This window comes from Homo sapiens, chromosome 3 (assembly GCF_000001405.40).
Source record: "Homo sapiens chromosome 3, GRCh38.p14 Primary Assembly".
NCBI lineage: Eukaryota > Metazoa > Chordata > Mammalia > Primates > Hominidae > Homo > Homo sapiens.
The window spans coordinates 157101542-157118809 of NC_000003.12; the positions used below are offsets into that span (position 1 = coordinate 157101542).

The 17268-nt window shown below is 44.2% G+C and overlaps 1 long non-coding RNA gene across 1 annotated transcript in view, besides 1 other annotated feature; it reads right to left on the minus strand.

Annotated features, from left to right (window-relative positions):
• LINC00880 (long intergenic non-protein coding RNA 880) overlaps window positions 1-17268 on the minus strand; it is a 41336-nt gene that overhangs the window by 19875 nt on the left and 4193 nt on the right. The window contains exons 2-3 of the long non-coding RNA NR_034007.1: window positions 1817-1938; window positions 394-551 (exon numbers count right to left, since the gene is read on the minus strand). This is a non-coding gene — a long non-coding RNA (long intergenic non-protein coding RNA 880). The remainder of the gene's footprint in view (window positions 1-393; window positions 552-1816; window positions 1939-17268) is intronic.
• Window positions 4216-4265: an enhancer, noted in NCBI's record as "active region_20737". NCBI's record gives its function as "activates an Ori minimal core promoter by ATAC-STARR-seq in GM12878 lymphoblastoid cells {active_cell/tissue: GM12878}" and the evidence as "EXISTENCE:reporter gene assay evidence [ECO:0000049][PMID:35858748]".

Here is a 17268-nt window from a genome sequence, read left to right on the forward strand (position 1 = left end):
GTCCCTTATTCAAACCCTTGTTTGGAACCAGCAGTGCTTGGCATGTCAGAACTTGGGGATTTGAGAAAGATATACAGTATATGTACCATAGGCTTTATAACACCTCATGGCATCTGCAACAGCATCCTGTTATGAAACATACTAATGGTTCTAGTTTCTGTAGTGACACATATATATGTTGCATAAGTAAAGACTGTAAGTATCCTTGCGTCAACTCAAGATACAAGGATACTTTTAGTCAATGTGCTTGTTTCAGGTCAGGTTTTGCTGCCAAATGAATTATAAATCCATTTTTTCATATTTTGGAGCTTTTAACGTTTCAAAATTGTGGGCCTGTGTTATCCCCATCTTACAGATGAAGAAACTGAGGCACAAGGAGGTTAAACAACTTACCCACATTCATTAGCTCATGGGAGGTGGGACTGGGCCACCAACCCCCCGGGTTTTGCAGCCTTGCCGTGAGGACCCAATACAAGGTAGACTTCTGGGTTGAATTTTGTCCTCCAGAATTCATATGTTGAGGTCTTAACCTTAGTACCTCAGAATAGAACCTTATATGGAAATAGAGTCATTTGAAATATAATTAGTTAAGATGAAGTCATTAGGGTGGACCCTAATCCCAAGTGACTGGTGTCCTTATAACAAGGAGAAATTTGGGCGCAGAGGCAGGCATGCACACAGGGAGAGCACCATGTGAAGATGAAGGCGGAGCTCAGGGTGACACTTCTACAAGCTCAACAATACCAAAGGTTGTTAGCAAACTGCTAGAAGCTGGGAGGGAGGGGCATGGAACAGATCCTTCCCTGCCAGCCCTCAGAAGGAGCCAACCCTGCCGACACCTTGATCTTGAATATGTGAGACAATACATTTCTGTTGTTTAAGCCACACAGTTTGCAGTGCTTTGTTACAGCAGCCCTGGCAAACCATTACATGATCCTTACCCAGTGCTGGATTCTGAGTGGGAGATCAATAAGTGGTAGCTAGTCATACTTACTATCAGTATGACTGAGGCCTCAGACTGTTCATTGAAACATAAAGTCAGTAAATTATTTCTAAGACCTCTTTCAAGTTCTGGGTCTAATTTTTTATGTTTATAACATGAAGATAATTCAACTTCACTTGTACCCCCAATGGCCTGGCTCTTATAGCATTTCTTTGCTGTTTTAAAAATGGGAGCCAACCCAAATGTCCATCAATGATAGAGTGTATAAAGAAAATGTGGCCCATATACACCATGGAATACTATACAGCCATAAAAAAGAATGAGTTCATGTTCTTTGCAGGGACATGGATGAAGCTGGAAACCATCATTCTCAACAAACTAACACAGGAACAGAAAACCAAACATCGCATGTTTTCACTCATAAGTGGGAGCTGAACCATGAGAACACATGGACACAGGGCAGGGAACATCACACACTGGGGCCTGTCAGGGGGTGGGGGACAAGGGGAGGGAGGGCATTAGGACCAGTACCTAATACGTGTGGGACTTACAATCTAGATGACGGGTTAATGGGTGCAGCAAACCACCATGGCACATGTATACCTATGTAACGAATCTGCACGTTCTGCACATGTATCCCAGAACTTAAAGTAAAATTTAAAAACAACAACAACAAAAAAAAGATGGGCTAAGCTGGACACAGTGGCACACACCTGTACTCCCAGCTACTTGGGAGGGTGAAGTGGAAGGATCCCTTCATCCCAGAAGTTTGAGACCAGCTTGGGCAACATAGCAAGACTCTGAACAATAGATGGGCTAATGTAAATGTGGTCTTAGAAAGCAAAACAACAAGCCAGGTTCAGTGGCACATACCTGTAGTCCCAGCTATTCAGGAGGCTGAGGCAAGAGGACTGCTTGAGCCTAGGAGCTCAAGGCTGCAGTGAGCTATGATCAAGCCACTGCACTCTAACCTGGGCAACAGAGCAGTACGCCATCTGTAAAGAAAAATGCAAAACAAAACAAAGAACATTAAAACCGAAACCATGTGGGCCCTAATTTGCCTGCTGATGTTTCTGCTTGCATTGTGAATTCACTCAGTCCTTGGCTTTTCTGAGTCTCTTCTGCTTGTGTCTTCAGGCCTGTGGAGTTAAAACCAGTGTGTTCAGGCTACAGATTCTGCAAAGGAAAGCAGAAATCTAAGTTAGAGGCTCTTTTCTGTGAGTTAAGAGTGTGTTGCTAGAACCCTATTTAGGCTTGGAACATTTTGATTCTTCATGTGGAAATTTGTCCCAAAATTGCCACTTCACTGAGGAGATAAAAGCTGCTTTAAGAGAGCAGCTTGAATACTTTTTCTGTTCATAGGACAAGGCATGGTTGGGCCCAGTCTAGGGAAAGAGGTAAAATGATAAAAAGTGTTTTTTTGAGATTTAGTGACAGGAATGCCCATTGTCAAGCTAGCTTGGAGCTTTAAGCCTCTGCCCTTAACACTCTACCACATCAATTCAGAAAAGGATTTGCTATGGGTGGGGTGTGGCCCCAAACTCTCATCTGTGGAAACAGGACCTCAATGACTTTGTGTGTTCAAAGAATGGACTTTGGGTTTCCTTCCAGCATCTGATTGTGGCATGTAGTAGTGGTTCTTGGGGCTGCCTCTCTGACTCCCTGTCAGTCCCTCAGCCTTTGTCCAGGAAGCGGCTCCCAGCTTCTTTCCTGGAAGCACTTTTGCACCAAGTCAAGGGGCCTCTCTCATCTCCCCGCAGCCCAAGCCCCTCCCAGAGCCAGGGGTGGTTTTAGCATTTGCTTACGGTTTTTCATCTTTGCTCCTTGTTCCTGGATACCCTCTCCTAATTTTAGAAGTGTGTCTTCTCCTATCAGTGGATGCAGCCCAGTGGAATTCCGTGGGGATACAAAAATAGTTGCAGGATGGGGAGTATCACTTTTTGGTTGGTGTTTCTATGCAATAACAAATGAGAAATTTAAATAAGCAAAAAAAACCTGCCTAATCAATTGAACTGCTGGGGAGTAGAGATCACATATTGCTCATTTTTGAATCCCAGGTGCTTGGCACAAAGTACGTGCTCAGCACATTATTTGTTGAATGAATCCATCTTAGTTTTCTTCCTTCTTCAGAGAGGTGCTCTGACATGCATTAAGTTTAAACGTGGTTGCACAAACAAAGTTGGAAGATGTTTCTGCTTCATAATAGCTGTCATGAGTCATGTCCAATAAAAACGTCCTGGGATCAGGAGGAAAAGGACACACAGTCCAGATCCAGCTCAGCCATCACCCAGGCAGCCCCAGGGTCTTCAGCCTCCCTGTGCCTCGGTGTCCTCCACTGCAACAAGAAGGTCATAATTTCTGTTCTGCCTCCCTCACAGCTGGTTATGAGAATGTGGCAAGAACAGACATGAAGAGATCATACTGGAGGTCCTACTTTTATTGTCATTATTATTACTACATGTAATTGTAGAGTTGAAGTGCTCATAATTATTTTTTACTACCTCAATCTCTTTTCTTCTCCATGAGCCTTCAAGGACCAAAGCCAGGTTTACCTCCTACCTCAGCTGAAGAAATGTCCATCCTGGTGAGGACTTCTTGCAGCTCGACCATCTGCTTGCTCAGCAAACATTTTCTGCATCACAGGTGGAGACTGAAAAGTTAAGTTGTGGAAGACTAGCTAAAAAACAGTTGTTTGCTGACACAGTTCCTGTGCTTGAAGCTACTCAGAGCAGAAACAGTAGGGTCTTCTCACCCAGAGACTATGCTCCCCAACAGAAACCTTGAACCAGCTAGAGAGCTCTCAGCCCCAGTTCTGCCCAGAACAGGCCCAGGAGGTGAGGAGATTTGTTAGGGGCAGCCAGCCAGGGGCCAGCAGAGAGGCCAGGAACCGAAGCCTCCTGATTCCAGGCCGGTTTTTACTTTACTCCCCATGCCTCTCAGTGGGGGCATTGGTAGGTGGTGCTTTGCTTCCTCTTGTGTCTCGGTGCAGATGCTGTTGCTAAGGTAACCGGGTAAGCATAAAACAGAAACAGCCCATAGGGTCTTGCTGCCTCCACCTGTGTGTCCAGACAGTTTCCCATCCCGGCCAGAGAGACACAGTCAGGCTTATTGATCCAGGCTGAGCATGTGTGTTGGAGCCTGGAGAGAAACGCCTGATCTGTGTGGCAGCCTGTATTCTCTGAACATTCTTCCTGGGCATGGTTTTAGACAAGATGTTAAAGATGGAGACAGATGATGAGGAATTGAAATTGCTTTAGTATACCAGTTGTCAGTGTGACATGGCTAAAACTGTCCAGGGCCTGGGTTCTTGACATATCCTTGGTTTATTCAGGGCATCTGTAGAATAAGAGGGCTGAAAGTACGGCCTCAACTCTGAATTCTGTGTCTAGCTTTCCTGTTGTACCCCAAGATGGAACCCTCCAACTTTCAGACAAGGGACTTTCTTAAAGAGCTATGTGATACTGTGTGGCTGATTTTCTCTTGTTCCTGGGAAGGGTTAGCTAATTAGTGTGTTAACCAGGGTCTTCCTTACCTCTTTTTCTTAACCCTTCCCTTAGTAGGCCCACCAGGGTTGGTCCCAAAGGAGAGAGGAGAGAACATAAATGAGCCAGTTTGGCTGCAGTGACAGCTCACAAGATGGTCAGATCATGGAGAGGGACTGAAATTCAGTCTAAGCTGCAGAAAAGGAGGAGAAGCGAGTACAATTCCTTCATTTCCAACTTTAAGTGGCCCCTGGGAGAAGCAAAGCATGTCCACATTAAGGCTGGACCTCACTTAGGGACTCCCTGGCTTAGGATCTCACTGTGACTACATCCCCAGTTTCTTTGGGGTGCACGTTGGAAGAGGCAGATCGGTCCTGGTAGCTGGTCATAGAACGGTGGCCTTTTGAGATCTGAGAGAAGCATGAGATGCTGCAGGGGGCTAGAAACCCAAACCTTGAAATATGAAATCTGCCACCCTTACAGGGGACCACACACACTAACTCAGCCCCTCTCAACAGACACACAAACTTACCACCCACTTTCCAGGCAAATGCAACAGCCAGCTGCTCCCTACATGTCCTTTGCTTTTCTACCACTGTCCATTGCCACCTCTCTCCACTTAGCAACATCTATCTTAGACAGGATACATTGGTTGCAAGTTCAGAACCCAACTCATATGAGCTAGGGAAAAGGAGGGCACAGCTGATATTTGGGAATATCTGGAGTCAGGGGCTCAGAGTTCACGACAACTCTCCCACTCCCACTCTCACCTCTTCTCTCCACTTCTCTCCAGGTGCCTATTTCATTCTCTCTCATGGCATACTGATTTCGTCCACATTGCAGGAAACACGGCTGCCCAAATCCCTCCCTGCCACACCCACATACAGGAACCTCCTGAATTTAACCTCTTTAGGCTTTCACTAAAGATATTGCCAGCTTTAAATCTGAAAATCCCAGGTAAGACTAATGAGTGGCTGGCCTTGGTCAGGCGCCCACCACTGGACTGTCAGGCAAAGCAGGGCGAGGGCAAGCTCATAGCATGCAGTTCCTATGGGCTGTGGGGAGAGGGCTGTGGGGAGAGGATACTTTCATATGAGAGAAGAGTGGTAGGCAGACAGCCCCACAGACATCCACAGCAAGGCCTCCCTCCAACTTTAAGGCCCAATTCAACAAAGTTTCTCCAGAATCCTCTTCAGCTCCACCTGGACTGGAAATAGCCTTCTCCTCTTCTCCACCCTTCCAGTGTCTTCACCTGTACCTCCCCGTGCACTGAACACCTGTTGACCACGTGGTCACTATTTGAATAACTTTTCCTATACAAATACTAATGTGTGTCACTGAAGAAAAAAATTGGAAACATAAATAAATAAAGAGAATAAAATAAAAACCACTCATAACTGCCATCTGGAGATAATCACTTAGCATTTGGGGGTGTTAGCAGCTGTTAGATTGATGTCTTTTTTTCTCTGCCTACATTCAGCCCTTCAACATCTCACCTCTCTGTGCTCCCCCAGAATCACCACAGTGCTTCCCATTCAGCGTGGGCTCCCTTTGAGCATGTTAAATAAGCAGTGAATAAAGGAATAAACAAACGGATGAGTAAATAGAAAGTCGGAGAAAAAGCTCTCCTACCCAAAAGTTGCCCCAGAGAAGGTATCAGGAAGGCAAAAGAAAGGTACCAGTCCTCAGAGGGCACAGACACCCCACCCTCCCCATTCCTTCCCAGCCTTCTCTGCTCCTATTGGGGCAGAATCAGTGCCAGAAAGTGAGTGGTGCATAGTGAACAGGCCGGGCCTGGGCCATAAACATTAGTGAAAATACTGTTAGGGACGGAAGCCCTATCCCTGCCATGTGACTTAGAAATGTTGCCCGTGGCTTCAGGGAAAAGAGGATTCATGGAAACAACCAAGTCAAGGTCACCACATGCATGCAATATTTTAGGCCCAGCAAGCAATGTGGCATATTCAAAGCTTCTGATGAATGGGTTCCAAGAAATCTGATTTTTAGCAGTGCTGTTGACACAGGAGTTGCAACAGCAACCCCCATGACTTGCCCCTCGCTGGGTTGAAGATTATCATTGATTTATCTGGAGCAGAAACAGCAGGAATCCACATCACGCCTTGGAAGGCAGCCTGGGCAAAGGCAGAGAATTAACAGATCTTTGTTATTAATTCCAATACCACAACTCCTCATGGGTCCGTGCAGTAAAATCACAGGCTCTCTTGACAGGAGTTTCTCTGTGTTTAAGAGGGCTAGTGTTTGTTTTGTTTTGTTTTGTTTTATGGGGCAGGTCCTTATTCTTAATTACAAAGACAATCCCAAATCACAAATATTCATTAATCACACACCAGCTCAAAACATGTTAGGTGCTACAGGAGGTGCAAAATAAGTAGCACAATCTCTATATTTCATTCATTTGAGCATCAAACATTTATTGAGGCCGTTCTATGTGCCAAACATTGTGCTAGTCACTGGACTTTATAGCACGGTTATTTTCCCTTTTAAAAGCGAAAAGATGAGGTTCAGGGAGGTTAAGCAACTTACCGAGCTTGCCTATAGTCACACAGTTTGTAAGAGACTTGGGATGAGAATAAAGGGAAATAATCTGACAGTTTGTTATTATTTTTATTATCATTGTAGTGCCATTCATGTAGCCTTAGAAAAACTCAACCTCATGCATTTGCATGAGCCTCCTTTTCACTAACACACAACAAGCCACAATTCATGTTGGGGAGTAGGAAAGTGGTTTGTGCCCATTTACTCTTCCTCCGGTGAACCTCCCAGGAGCAGCTGGTGTGTGCAAAACCAAGAGCCCATGGCCTTTGCTCTGTTCTTATGCACAGTGGTCTGTTGATAGCTGCCCTCCAAACAGCCCTGGCACAGGGGTCAATCACAGGCCCACAGCCAGCACAGATGAGCAGAAGGAATGCAAGTTTTGGTCTCCCAGCAGTGCTTTGCTTTTGACCCATATGTTTTTCCTTCTTGACCTGGAAGCAGCATTTGGGTGCTAAAGGAAAGGACCCTGAATGCTGGAGTCTTGCAGGCCAGGGTTTAAATCTCAGCTCAACCTCTTGGAAGTTGTGTGAACTTGGGCACAGCTCTTAGCTTCTCTGAGACTTCATTTTCTCCCCACTAAATGAAGGCAATACCCACCCTGCAGAGACGTTTAATAGAGGCAATAACTACCCTGCAGAGAGGTTCAATTGGGTAACATATGCACGATGTCTGGCACGCACTAATTGCTCATCAATAGTAGCTATTATTATTGTCCAAACTAGATTTCACTAGAAGTGAAGTCACAATTATTAAGCCATAAACTAATATGCATTTATTAAAGATCTATTTTTAAGTAGGATTGATAATGGTTGTGAGAAAAACCTTGCCCACCCCCTCCAGCAGTTAGGGACCCAGACAGGGAGTAAATAAAACCCATGGCAATGAACAAGTCACCAACAACTCAAGCATCTGAGACACAAGAGGCGAGAGATAAAATTTTCCTAGGTGTCTGCAACTTTGGAGATAAGGGCAGTGAGTGTGGGCAGATGGAGGCCCCAGGGAACCCTCTGTCTAGGCCCCCCTGCACTACATCACAGGTACCCTTCACAGGCCTAGTATCCATGCACTGTTCTTTTCCCCCCTTCTCCAGAGTTTGCTTTTTGGCTCATTCAGGTATTTTCCTTTCTGAGAGTCACTGGGGACTCAGAGCATCCTCAGGTTATCTGTCCTCAGGCCTAGCCGGCTCCTTGCTGGGTTCTGACCTCACCTCTGGCGTCAGTCTTATCAGGTGTGGACAGAATCGTCTCCCCAGCTCCTGGAGCTGCAAGCCCAGGATACTCCCCACACCCAGGCCTCATCCGGTATGATGGAGGAGGGCCAGGCACCTCTGGGACTAAACACAGTGGTCACCTGCCAAATCAAAATGACCACAGGGGTCTGCAAGCGAAGCCATGAGGCCCAGAATCAGGGAGGAAGGGTGGGGTTTACATAAGTGTTGACAAAGAACAGAGCAGATGCCATGCTCCGCCAAGCAGGAAAGAGGGAGGAGGATGCTGGGGAGAAACAGCAACCCTCTGCAGCCCAGGTCTTCATAGGGACACTAGCAAAGGGACAACAGGTCATGATGGGGATTTAGTGTCCTCTGGGAATTTTTTCCTCCCAGGGAACATGAAGATCCAGCTGAGCTCAGTCTTAAGAAATAAGTCTTAGGGTGACTGAATAGGAAGCGAGTGAGCTCACTGGGAACCAGAGAGGTAGACATATTGGGTACCTGGGCAGAGGTACCAGCTGCTCTGTGTAAACTCATATTCCATAATCAGAAAGCACACTTCATTTCTTTTCTTTCTTTCTTCTTTTCTTTTCTTTCTTTTTTTTTTTTTTTTTTTTTTTTTTTTTTTTGAGACAGAGCTTTGCTCTTGTTGCCCAGGCTGGAGTGCAATGGTGCGATCTCGGCTCACTTCAACCTCCACTTCCTGGATTCAAGCGATTCTTCTGCCTCAGCCTCCCAAAGTAGCTGGGATTGCAGGCTCCTGCCACCACGCCCAGCTAACTTTTTTGTATTTTTAGTACATACACGGTTTCACCATGTTGGCCAGGCTGGTCTTGAACTCCTGACCTCAGGGGATCCACCGGCCTCAGCCTCCCAAAGTGCTGGGATTACAGGCATGAGCCACTGAGCGCAGCCAGTACATTTCATTTCTATGGCACCTCTGGTTTGTTTAAATTTGTCGGCTGGCTTAAGTACTCCTTGGGGTTAATGGCTCAGGGGGGGTGGGAGTGGGTGAGTATTTAATTAGAATTCATTCCATAGGGGCCTCTTTGTCCTGTTAGGGTCAGCTCCGACCACTTGTTTCTCTGCACCGGGACTGCTGCCTTTATTGGACTTGTTAGTGTCTGTCAGTAAATGATAACTCATTTGAACTGTCTCCAGAATCACAGTGGTGCAGGGCGCAGAAGCTTCTCACATTGGTGTTTCACATTCTAGGGCTTAGAAGGGAGGCAGGGGTCAGGCCACTCCTCCAAACCATGGAGACTGCAAGCCAGAGAGCTGGCAGGCACCCAAGGAGCCAGGCCTCATCCTGGGGTGACAGAGAACCAAGGGAGCTGCAGACCCCCAAGGGGGCAAGCCTGGGACTGGCACCCTGTCAGCAAGAAACTAGTAGGGAACTGTGGGAATAGGCAGGTGGACAGCTGGGGTCCACAGAAATGGAAAGCCAGAGGAACAGAAAGCATTTCCTTCCCTGCAGGCTACATTCCACGTGCAGCCCCACTGTACTCGGACCTGTGAGCCACAGCCACGAATCTAGCCTTCAGAAATACTCACATCTGTGCAGAATGACAGGGTGCCACTTTGTTCATTGTACCATTGCTTGAAATAGCAGAAGACTTGGATCAATCTAAATCTCATCAATAAAAGTCTGATTAAATAATTCACAGTCTGTGCAGACAGTGGCATACTTCAAACGAAGCGCCTCACACTGTGATGGGGGATGACCTCCGAAATACATTGCTACATCAAACAAATACAACTAGGTTCAGAACTGTGTATTATCACTTGTTATTTCTTAAAAGGGGGCAAGTAGAGTGGGGAAGGGAAGAGAATATATATTTATGCACTTATTTATGCATAAACTATCTTTGGAAGGATTCCCAGACTGGTAATATGGTAATATTTTATTCCTCCAGGAAGGAGGGTGCCGGGATTGGGTGTGAGGGATGGGAGGGGACTGTATCCCAGCCCAGCCCAAACTTAGTAGCTTAAAGCAACCCCCATTCATCCAGCTCAATCTCTGTGGTTTGGCTGTGGTGGCTGGGGCCTCTCTGCACATGAGGACCAGGAGGCTGGTCCTGCCTTCACAAGGCAGCGTCAGAGTTCCCAGGAGCCAGAGACTCCTGAGCAGAGCAAGCCCAGTGCACAAACACTTTCAGACTCTTATTTGCATGATGTTTGCTGACATCCTTTTGGCGAAAGCAATTCACATGACCAAGCCCAAATTCAAGGCAGAGAAATAGACTCCATTTCTTAATGGGAGGAGCCACCAAATATTATGGTCACTTGTTTAAATCTACCTCAAGGTAGGGCAGGGATGATGACGGAGGGAGAGACTTTTCTCTTTTTAGCCTTTTGAACTTTTTGAATTTGAGTCATGTCAATATTACCTAATCAAAAATAACTAAAAGCTTAAAATTTAAAATAGATTCCCTGAGATTAGCTTCAAAATAATTCAGCTGTTGAAGGAGATGAGGCAGGGAGAGGGGAGAGTTGAGACATAGGCAAAATGAGATTGGCAGTGAGTTGGGAACTGCGGAAGCTGGGTGATGAACACAGGAAGGCTTGTAATAATCTACTTTGTGGATGCTCAAATTTCTTGCAGCAGGAATTTTTTTAAATAATAAAAAAGAAAGAACTAATAGCAAAAACTCACACTTACTAGACTTACATGGTAAGTGCATTGCCTGCGTCATCCCCTACAAGGTGGTCGGGACTCTTGTGGCCTTAACAACAGCTTTCTTGAGTGGCAGCTGCAGAGTGAGGCCACAGGGCAGCCTAAAACAGAGAGGAGAGCAGGGAAGAAAGGAACGTAGGAAGCTGCCTGCCAGTGTGGGCAGGACTTGTAGCTGAAAATCCAAGGATTGGGATGGTATTTGGTGGTGGCATGGAAGGTGAAAAATACTTGATTGTCTCAGAAACACACACAGAGCTTATGAGGGTTGGAAACAAGACGGGAGCCTTTCCAAGGATTCCAGACAAACACTATGGGGCATGTGAGCACATTTGAAGGAAAATGACTCAGTAGGAAATTTTCTCAATAGGTAGATTTTCTTGCCTCTTATCACTCAAAATGGCCACATGTGTGATCCTGGGCCTCCAGTCACCCACATAGCCTGGGCCTGGCGCTGAAAGGCTGGTCATGGAGCAGTTCTGAGAATGCTATTCTATGGCAGAGGAGGAAATCCTTCACCGTATCTTCTGAGTCCCTGGCCTCCCTAGCTAACCCTTAGAACTCTCTCCCTGTTCCAAATGTCTGCTAAGAGTTTTCCCAGAGGCTGTGGCTTCTGAAGCCATGTTCAGCCTCTGTGGAAAGCTCAGCTTTTAGGTGTGTTCCTGTGAATGCCAGTGCGTGCACCTGCAGATGCTCCTCCTGTGGCGGCTACAAGGTGGACACCTCTGTAGGGGAAGTGACTGTGGTACTTTCTAGGAATTTAGGGGTGTCCCCCACCCCAACTCTAGGCTAGGGTAGGTGACACCTATATCATGCCTTATTCCTGTCTTTATTGCTGAATCTCCACATTGTTTAAAATTGTTCATCACTATTCAAAGACTTAGTATTAAAGAATTACTGTTAAGTTTTTAGGTGTGATACTGGTATTGTTAAATTTTGCTTCATCCTTTTATTAAGGTATAATGTATATACTGAAAAGTGAACAAATTATATGTGTACAGCTGAAGAGATTTTTAAAAGAGAAAACACCTGTGTTGCCAGCCCGCAAGTCAAAAAAAGAGATCATCGCAAGCAAGATATTCATGTTGGTTAAAAAAGAATCTTTGTAGTAATATGTCCTTAAGGATCTACAGAGGAAATATTGATGTCTTGGGTTTGCTTCAAAATAACCTGGAGTTGAGGGAAGGCACAGACTAAACAACGTTGCTCACCAATTGATAACTATGGAAGCTGGTAAGGTTTCCATAGGCCTTCTATGTATTCTCTGTCTTGCTCTCTGTCTCACATATTTAAAATTTCTCCGATAAGATTTTTAAAACAATCATTAGAAGCCTTGGCTTTAACTGAAGCAGAGGTGGCTCTGAGGCATGAGGTAAAAGCTTAGAGGTGAAATTAAAATGTCCCTTTAGGATATTACTTGGTAATTAAGAATCTTTGAGTCTACTGGATTAAATATGTAAATAATCTATCTTTTTAAGTGGGTTTTTATGTGCCTATCTTCTCTGTGTCACTGAGAGCTTCCTGCAGGTGCTGGGTTTTATTCCTATCTGTATCCCTGCTGCTTATGTAGTACCATTCTTGGCACACAGGAGGTGCTCAGAAGTGCTTGCTGAGCAAATGAATGCTTGAATGTTATATCATATCCTATGACAAGGTCTAACAGAGCACCAAGGTGGTGTAGGTGCCCAAAACTGCTATATCACTTAAATTGAAATCAACACCACCAACTTCTTTTCTCTTTTGTAGTTGCTTCCAAACAATAAGTTGCTTAAATCCTAAAATATCAGAATTGAGAGGGACTTAAAGGTCACTTTGTATAACCTGCTTATGTTCTAGATGAGGAAACCAAGGTCCAGAGAACTAAGTGAACTTTTCAAGGTCACACAGCTGTTAGGGACAGAGCCAGAGCTAGAGCTCAGCCTTGTTGAGCCCCATCGGGCCTGTTGTTATTATATCATCCAGCTCCATGGCTGTTAATTTGACACACCCAAAATCCTATTTTCACAGGTAAAGAGAATTTCAAAGAGGTGAATATAATTTTCCCAAGGTCTTCGGTCATCGTGACTCCATAGCTCTATCAAAAACAGTGTTTGCCACCTTGGGTTATGGCCTTTACTTTGAGAAAATTTAAAATTCAGAAACTTTAATTTTAAGAACAGAGAGGTGATTATTCTCATTAGAAAGGACTTTGATGCACATTTTTATGCAAGAGGTGAATTCTTCTTTCAAATGTCTTTGAAATATGGGCAGATTTTTTAAACTTCCATCTACATCTAGCTTGTTAGGAACAAAGCAACTGTATAAAATCAGGCACAGCCCAAGCCATGTCCTGTCCTGTCAAGTGTCACAAGGGTACTTTCAACATTCCCAAGCCAAAAAATAAACCAATCAAAGATAACACACCAAGACTGGAAATAAATGAAAAACCCCAACAACAAACAAACAAAAAAAGTCAACCATTTCATAACGTGGTATCTTTTTAAAAAAACATATTCGTTTAAAAAAAGTTGTTAAATTAAAATGTTAAGATAACCATGCCTTATAATTTAATTTTGTTGTCTCTCAAAGCAGCATAACTATAGTGGTCTTTTGTGCCATTCATTTTCTGGGCTTTTCCATGCAAAAGTATGTTGCAGCTTTGTCCAGTGCCTTTTTCAAGCATCTTGTGACATTTCCATCCCCCTACCTAACAGGGTGGTCGGATTTCTTTGCTGTTAAGAGGATTACTGAGACGTTCCCCTTTATATAACTCAGAAGACTCCGTAAATAACAAGAAAGAGCAAACAAGAGATGTCAAGGAGAGAGGTTACAAGCAAGGGCTGCATTTCAGAGAAGCTGGCTAAGCAAAAAGAGGTCAAAGAACTTTCTTAATTGACACTGATAAAGCTGGGGATTGAGAAGCAGTGTCCTGGGCGCCATTTTCATGGGCAAGCAGAGGGGTTAGCTTACATTCATCCATCAAGTGTTAAGCTTTAAACCCAAGAACTTCGGGTGAGTCAGGGCCAATGACCGGTAAAGGAATGAGACACCTTATCTCTAATCAACCCTGCCTCAAAATAGCTCTCTTCCTTTGGGCAGAGACTCCCAGCACACTATAGTTCAGGGAAGTGCCTGAGCCACACTTAGTCAGAAAGTCAATGAGTACGCTTTGTGTACAAAGTTAAGTTAGACCTCTCTGCGTGGAGCAAGGCATAATTTAACAACCCTCACTATGGCTTGCATCAAATCAAGATGTTCCAGCCAGGAAGGAACTTACAGTTTACCTGGACCAGCTCCTCATTTTACAGATGAATAAACTGAGACCCAGGGAGATGGATGATTTGCAAAAGAACACCAAGGGAGTCAGTGGCTGGGCTGAGGGCTGAAACCCTGCGCTAGAGCAGACATTCTCTTTCTCTTGGCAATTCTGCTATACTCATCTGAAAAATGAATGAAACACTCATGCCCCTGGTCAATTTTCCTTCCGTTGTTAAGGAAATCATTGCCAATGCTCCAATAGTTTCTAAGTCAACACATTCACAGGCAGTTTTTGTTAAACCCTTTCATTGTGAGTCTCCCAAACTTCCTCTTCTATCTTCATACTTCAGAGAGCTTTACTTTTGAGGTTCACTGTGTGGGCTGCCACTGTTGTTCCTTTCTCCACTGCTGGGAGAATGTTACAAATGGGTAATTGAAGTACTTGGGGTGTTGCTCTTAGGATGGGGTCAGACAAAAATTGACACCAGCCTCATCAGCTGTTCACCCCTAACAAGGGTTGTGACTCACAGCTCAGGGACTGCTGTTTCAGAAATGATCTGTGACATGGCACAGCTCAAACATTCCTGCCTCGATGCTTCCTACACCGCCATTTGCATACTGTGTCCCCTTTGTGCGTCCGCCACACAGTATGGGCTCTGTCCAGAGCTATCAGAGGCACATGAGGTCTAAATAGGAGTGGGGGAAAGCCTGGAGCTTGCAAAAGACTGCTGAAAACTGGGCAAAATAATAAGGATTTAGGACATGGACAGACAAAGTTCTGGAATGTGCTGTTAGAAAAATGCCTGGCCCTATCTAACTTGAAGGAGTTTTGTGTCATGTTATTACTATCCAAGACTTTGTGTCAGAGACTGAAGAGAAATAAAGCACTAAGGGACAGGACATTCAATTTTGACACCCCTTCGTTTCTCCATGATTGTCATTTCTTAAATGTTCCACTTATTTCCTCCATGAGTCAACTGGGCTGGACTTATTGCAGCTCTCAGGTGGAAACTGGTCCTAGTTGTTCTTCATGCATGAGATTTATCTCTTCTAGCTAGACTCCAAGTTACTCTATAAAAGTCTCAGGGCTTTATAATTCCCGCAAGGTTTCCTACTGAGGGCTGGACATACAGGAGGTGCTTAATAAGTGTTAAATAACCATGTCCTGCTTGGTCAGCATCACAGTTTTAAACTCACTTCATGCTAAAGTCAGGTCATGCTATTCAGGTGCTCATTGCATTCATGAGAAGGCACAAGGGCAAAGAAGAATGATCGCCCGAGGTTTATACCCAGTGAATGACAGAGCCAAGCCTCAATCCCAGGTCTTCTGAAATCAAATCCAGTTCTCACTAACTCTTCTGTCTATCATAGGATGGATAAAGAAAATAGGCTAAAGGCATTTAGGTTAAAGCTGGTGAAAAGTGAAATCGTTCATTGCTGGGGGTGGAGGGTGGGGCAGGTCTTAAAATTTTTAAAGGACAATTTAACTGTTATATCCTCAGCTTACTACATAAGTTACACAAAGACTTCCATACATTTATGTAATTGTAACAGTGTTTAACTTTTTTCTTGCAAGAGTTCCATCATAATCAATTGGTTTAGCAGAATAAAAATTGGTTTCTTTTTAGCTGAAGAACTAAAAATAGGAGGCAAATTAATATTCAGCAAATGAGATGAATCTCTATGAGGTATGGCTTTATTGTTCTGATGAACACCAACTCAATGTGGTGTTCGAAATGTCTCAGTAACACCCATATTCATGTTCAAAGATGATGTCACCAAGGAACATCCACAGGCATTCACTGAGTGCACAGCACGGTTCTGGATGGCTTTCCAGAACCATCAGCTAGCTATAGGACCTTAGGTACATACTAAAGGACCCAACGTTTTTTTAACACCAACCATGTTCCAGAAACCTTGAAAAACACTTTGCATGTTATTACATTTAACCCTTGTGACAACTTTATGATTTAAAATGAGGACCCTTAGCAGAGAGTAGTCATTAATTTACTCAAAATGACATGGCCAATAAATGGCAAAGCTGGGAGCTGTATCAGATATTAGTGACTCCAAAGCCCATATTTTTCCCACTATACCAGAGCTTCTCAATCCTAATTCATATTAGTATCACCCAAGGAGCTTTCATATTGTAATGATGCCTGGGTCTCACCTCAGACCAATTACATCAGAATATCTGAGGATCTATCCTGGATGTTTTTTTCTGGATGTCTTTTCATCACCCTAAGTGATTATACTATGCAACCAGAGTTAACAACCACTGAACTGGGTGTGCTGAGACTCAGTGCCTTCAACTGTAAAGTAGATGGAGATCTCTACTTTCTACTTCTGTAGTCACCAGAAGGCTAATTACCCTGGGGCCAATAGCTGCCTGAGAAGCCCCAATCTGCACCTAGAGTAAGCAGTTGTCACCCATACTGTCAGATATTCTCCCAACTTTCTACTTAAGTGTGGGCTATGAGTACAGCTGTTTAAACTTCCAGGAATGGGACTCTAAGATATACAATTATTTCATATATTCATATATATGTGAACCCCAAATATCTGAGACAGATCTCAGTTAATTTAGAAAGTTTATTTTGCCAAGGTTGAGGATGCATGCCCATGACACAGCCTCAGGAGGTCCTGATGACATGTGTCCAAGTTGGTCAGAACACAGCTTGGTTTTATACATTTTAGGAAGACATGAGACGTCAATCAATATATATAAGCTGTACATTGGTTCTGTCTGGAAAGGCGGCACAACTTGAAGCTGGGAGGGAGCTTCCAGGTCACAGATACTTGAGAGACAAACGGTTCATTCTTGTGAGTTTCTGATTAGCCTTTCCAAAGGAGGCAATCAGATATGCATTTATCTCAGTGAGCAGAGGGGTGACTTTGAATAGAATGGGAAGCAGGTTTGCCCTAAGCAGTTCCCAGCTTGATTATTCCCTTAGTGATTTGGGGGCCCGAAGATTTATTTTCCTTTCATATATATATATATATATATATATATATATTTTTTTTTTTTTAAATCAGAACAAGGCCCTAAAACTCTAGAAAGATTCCCATGCCATTATTTTCTCTGTCTTTCTTTCCAGATATCAATCATAGCTATTTTGGTGAAATCCCTATTGCTCCAAACTATTTTAGTGCTGCCTCTCTGCCA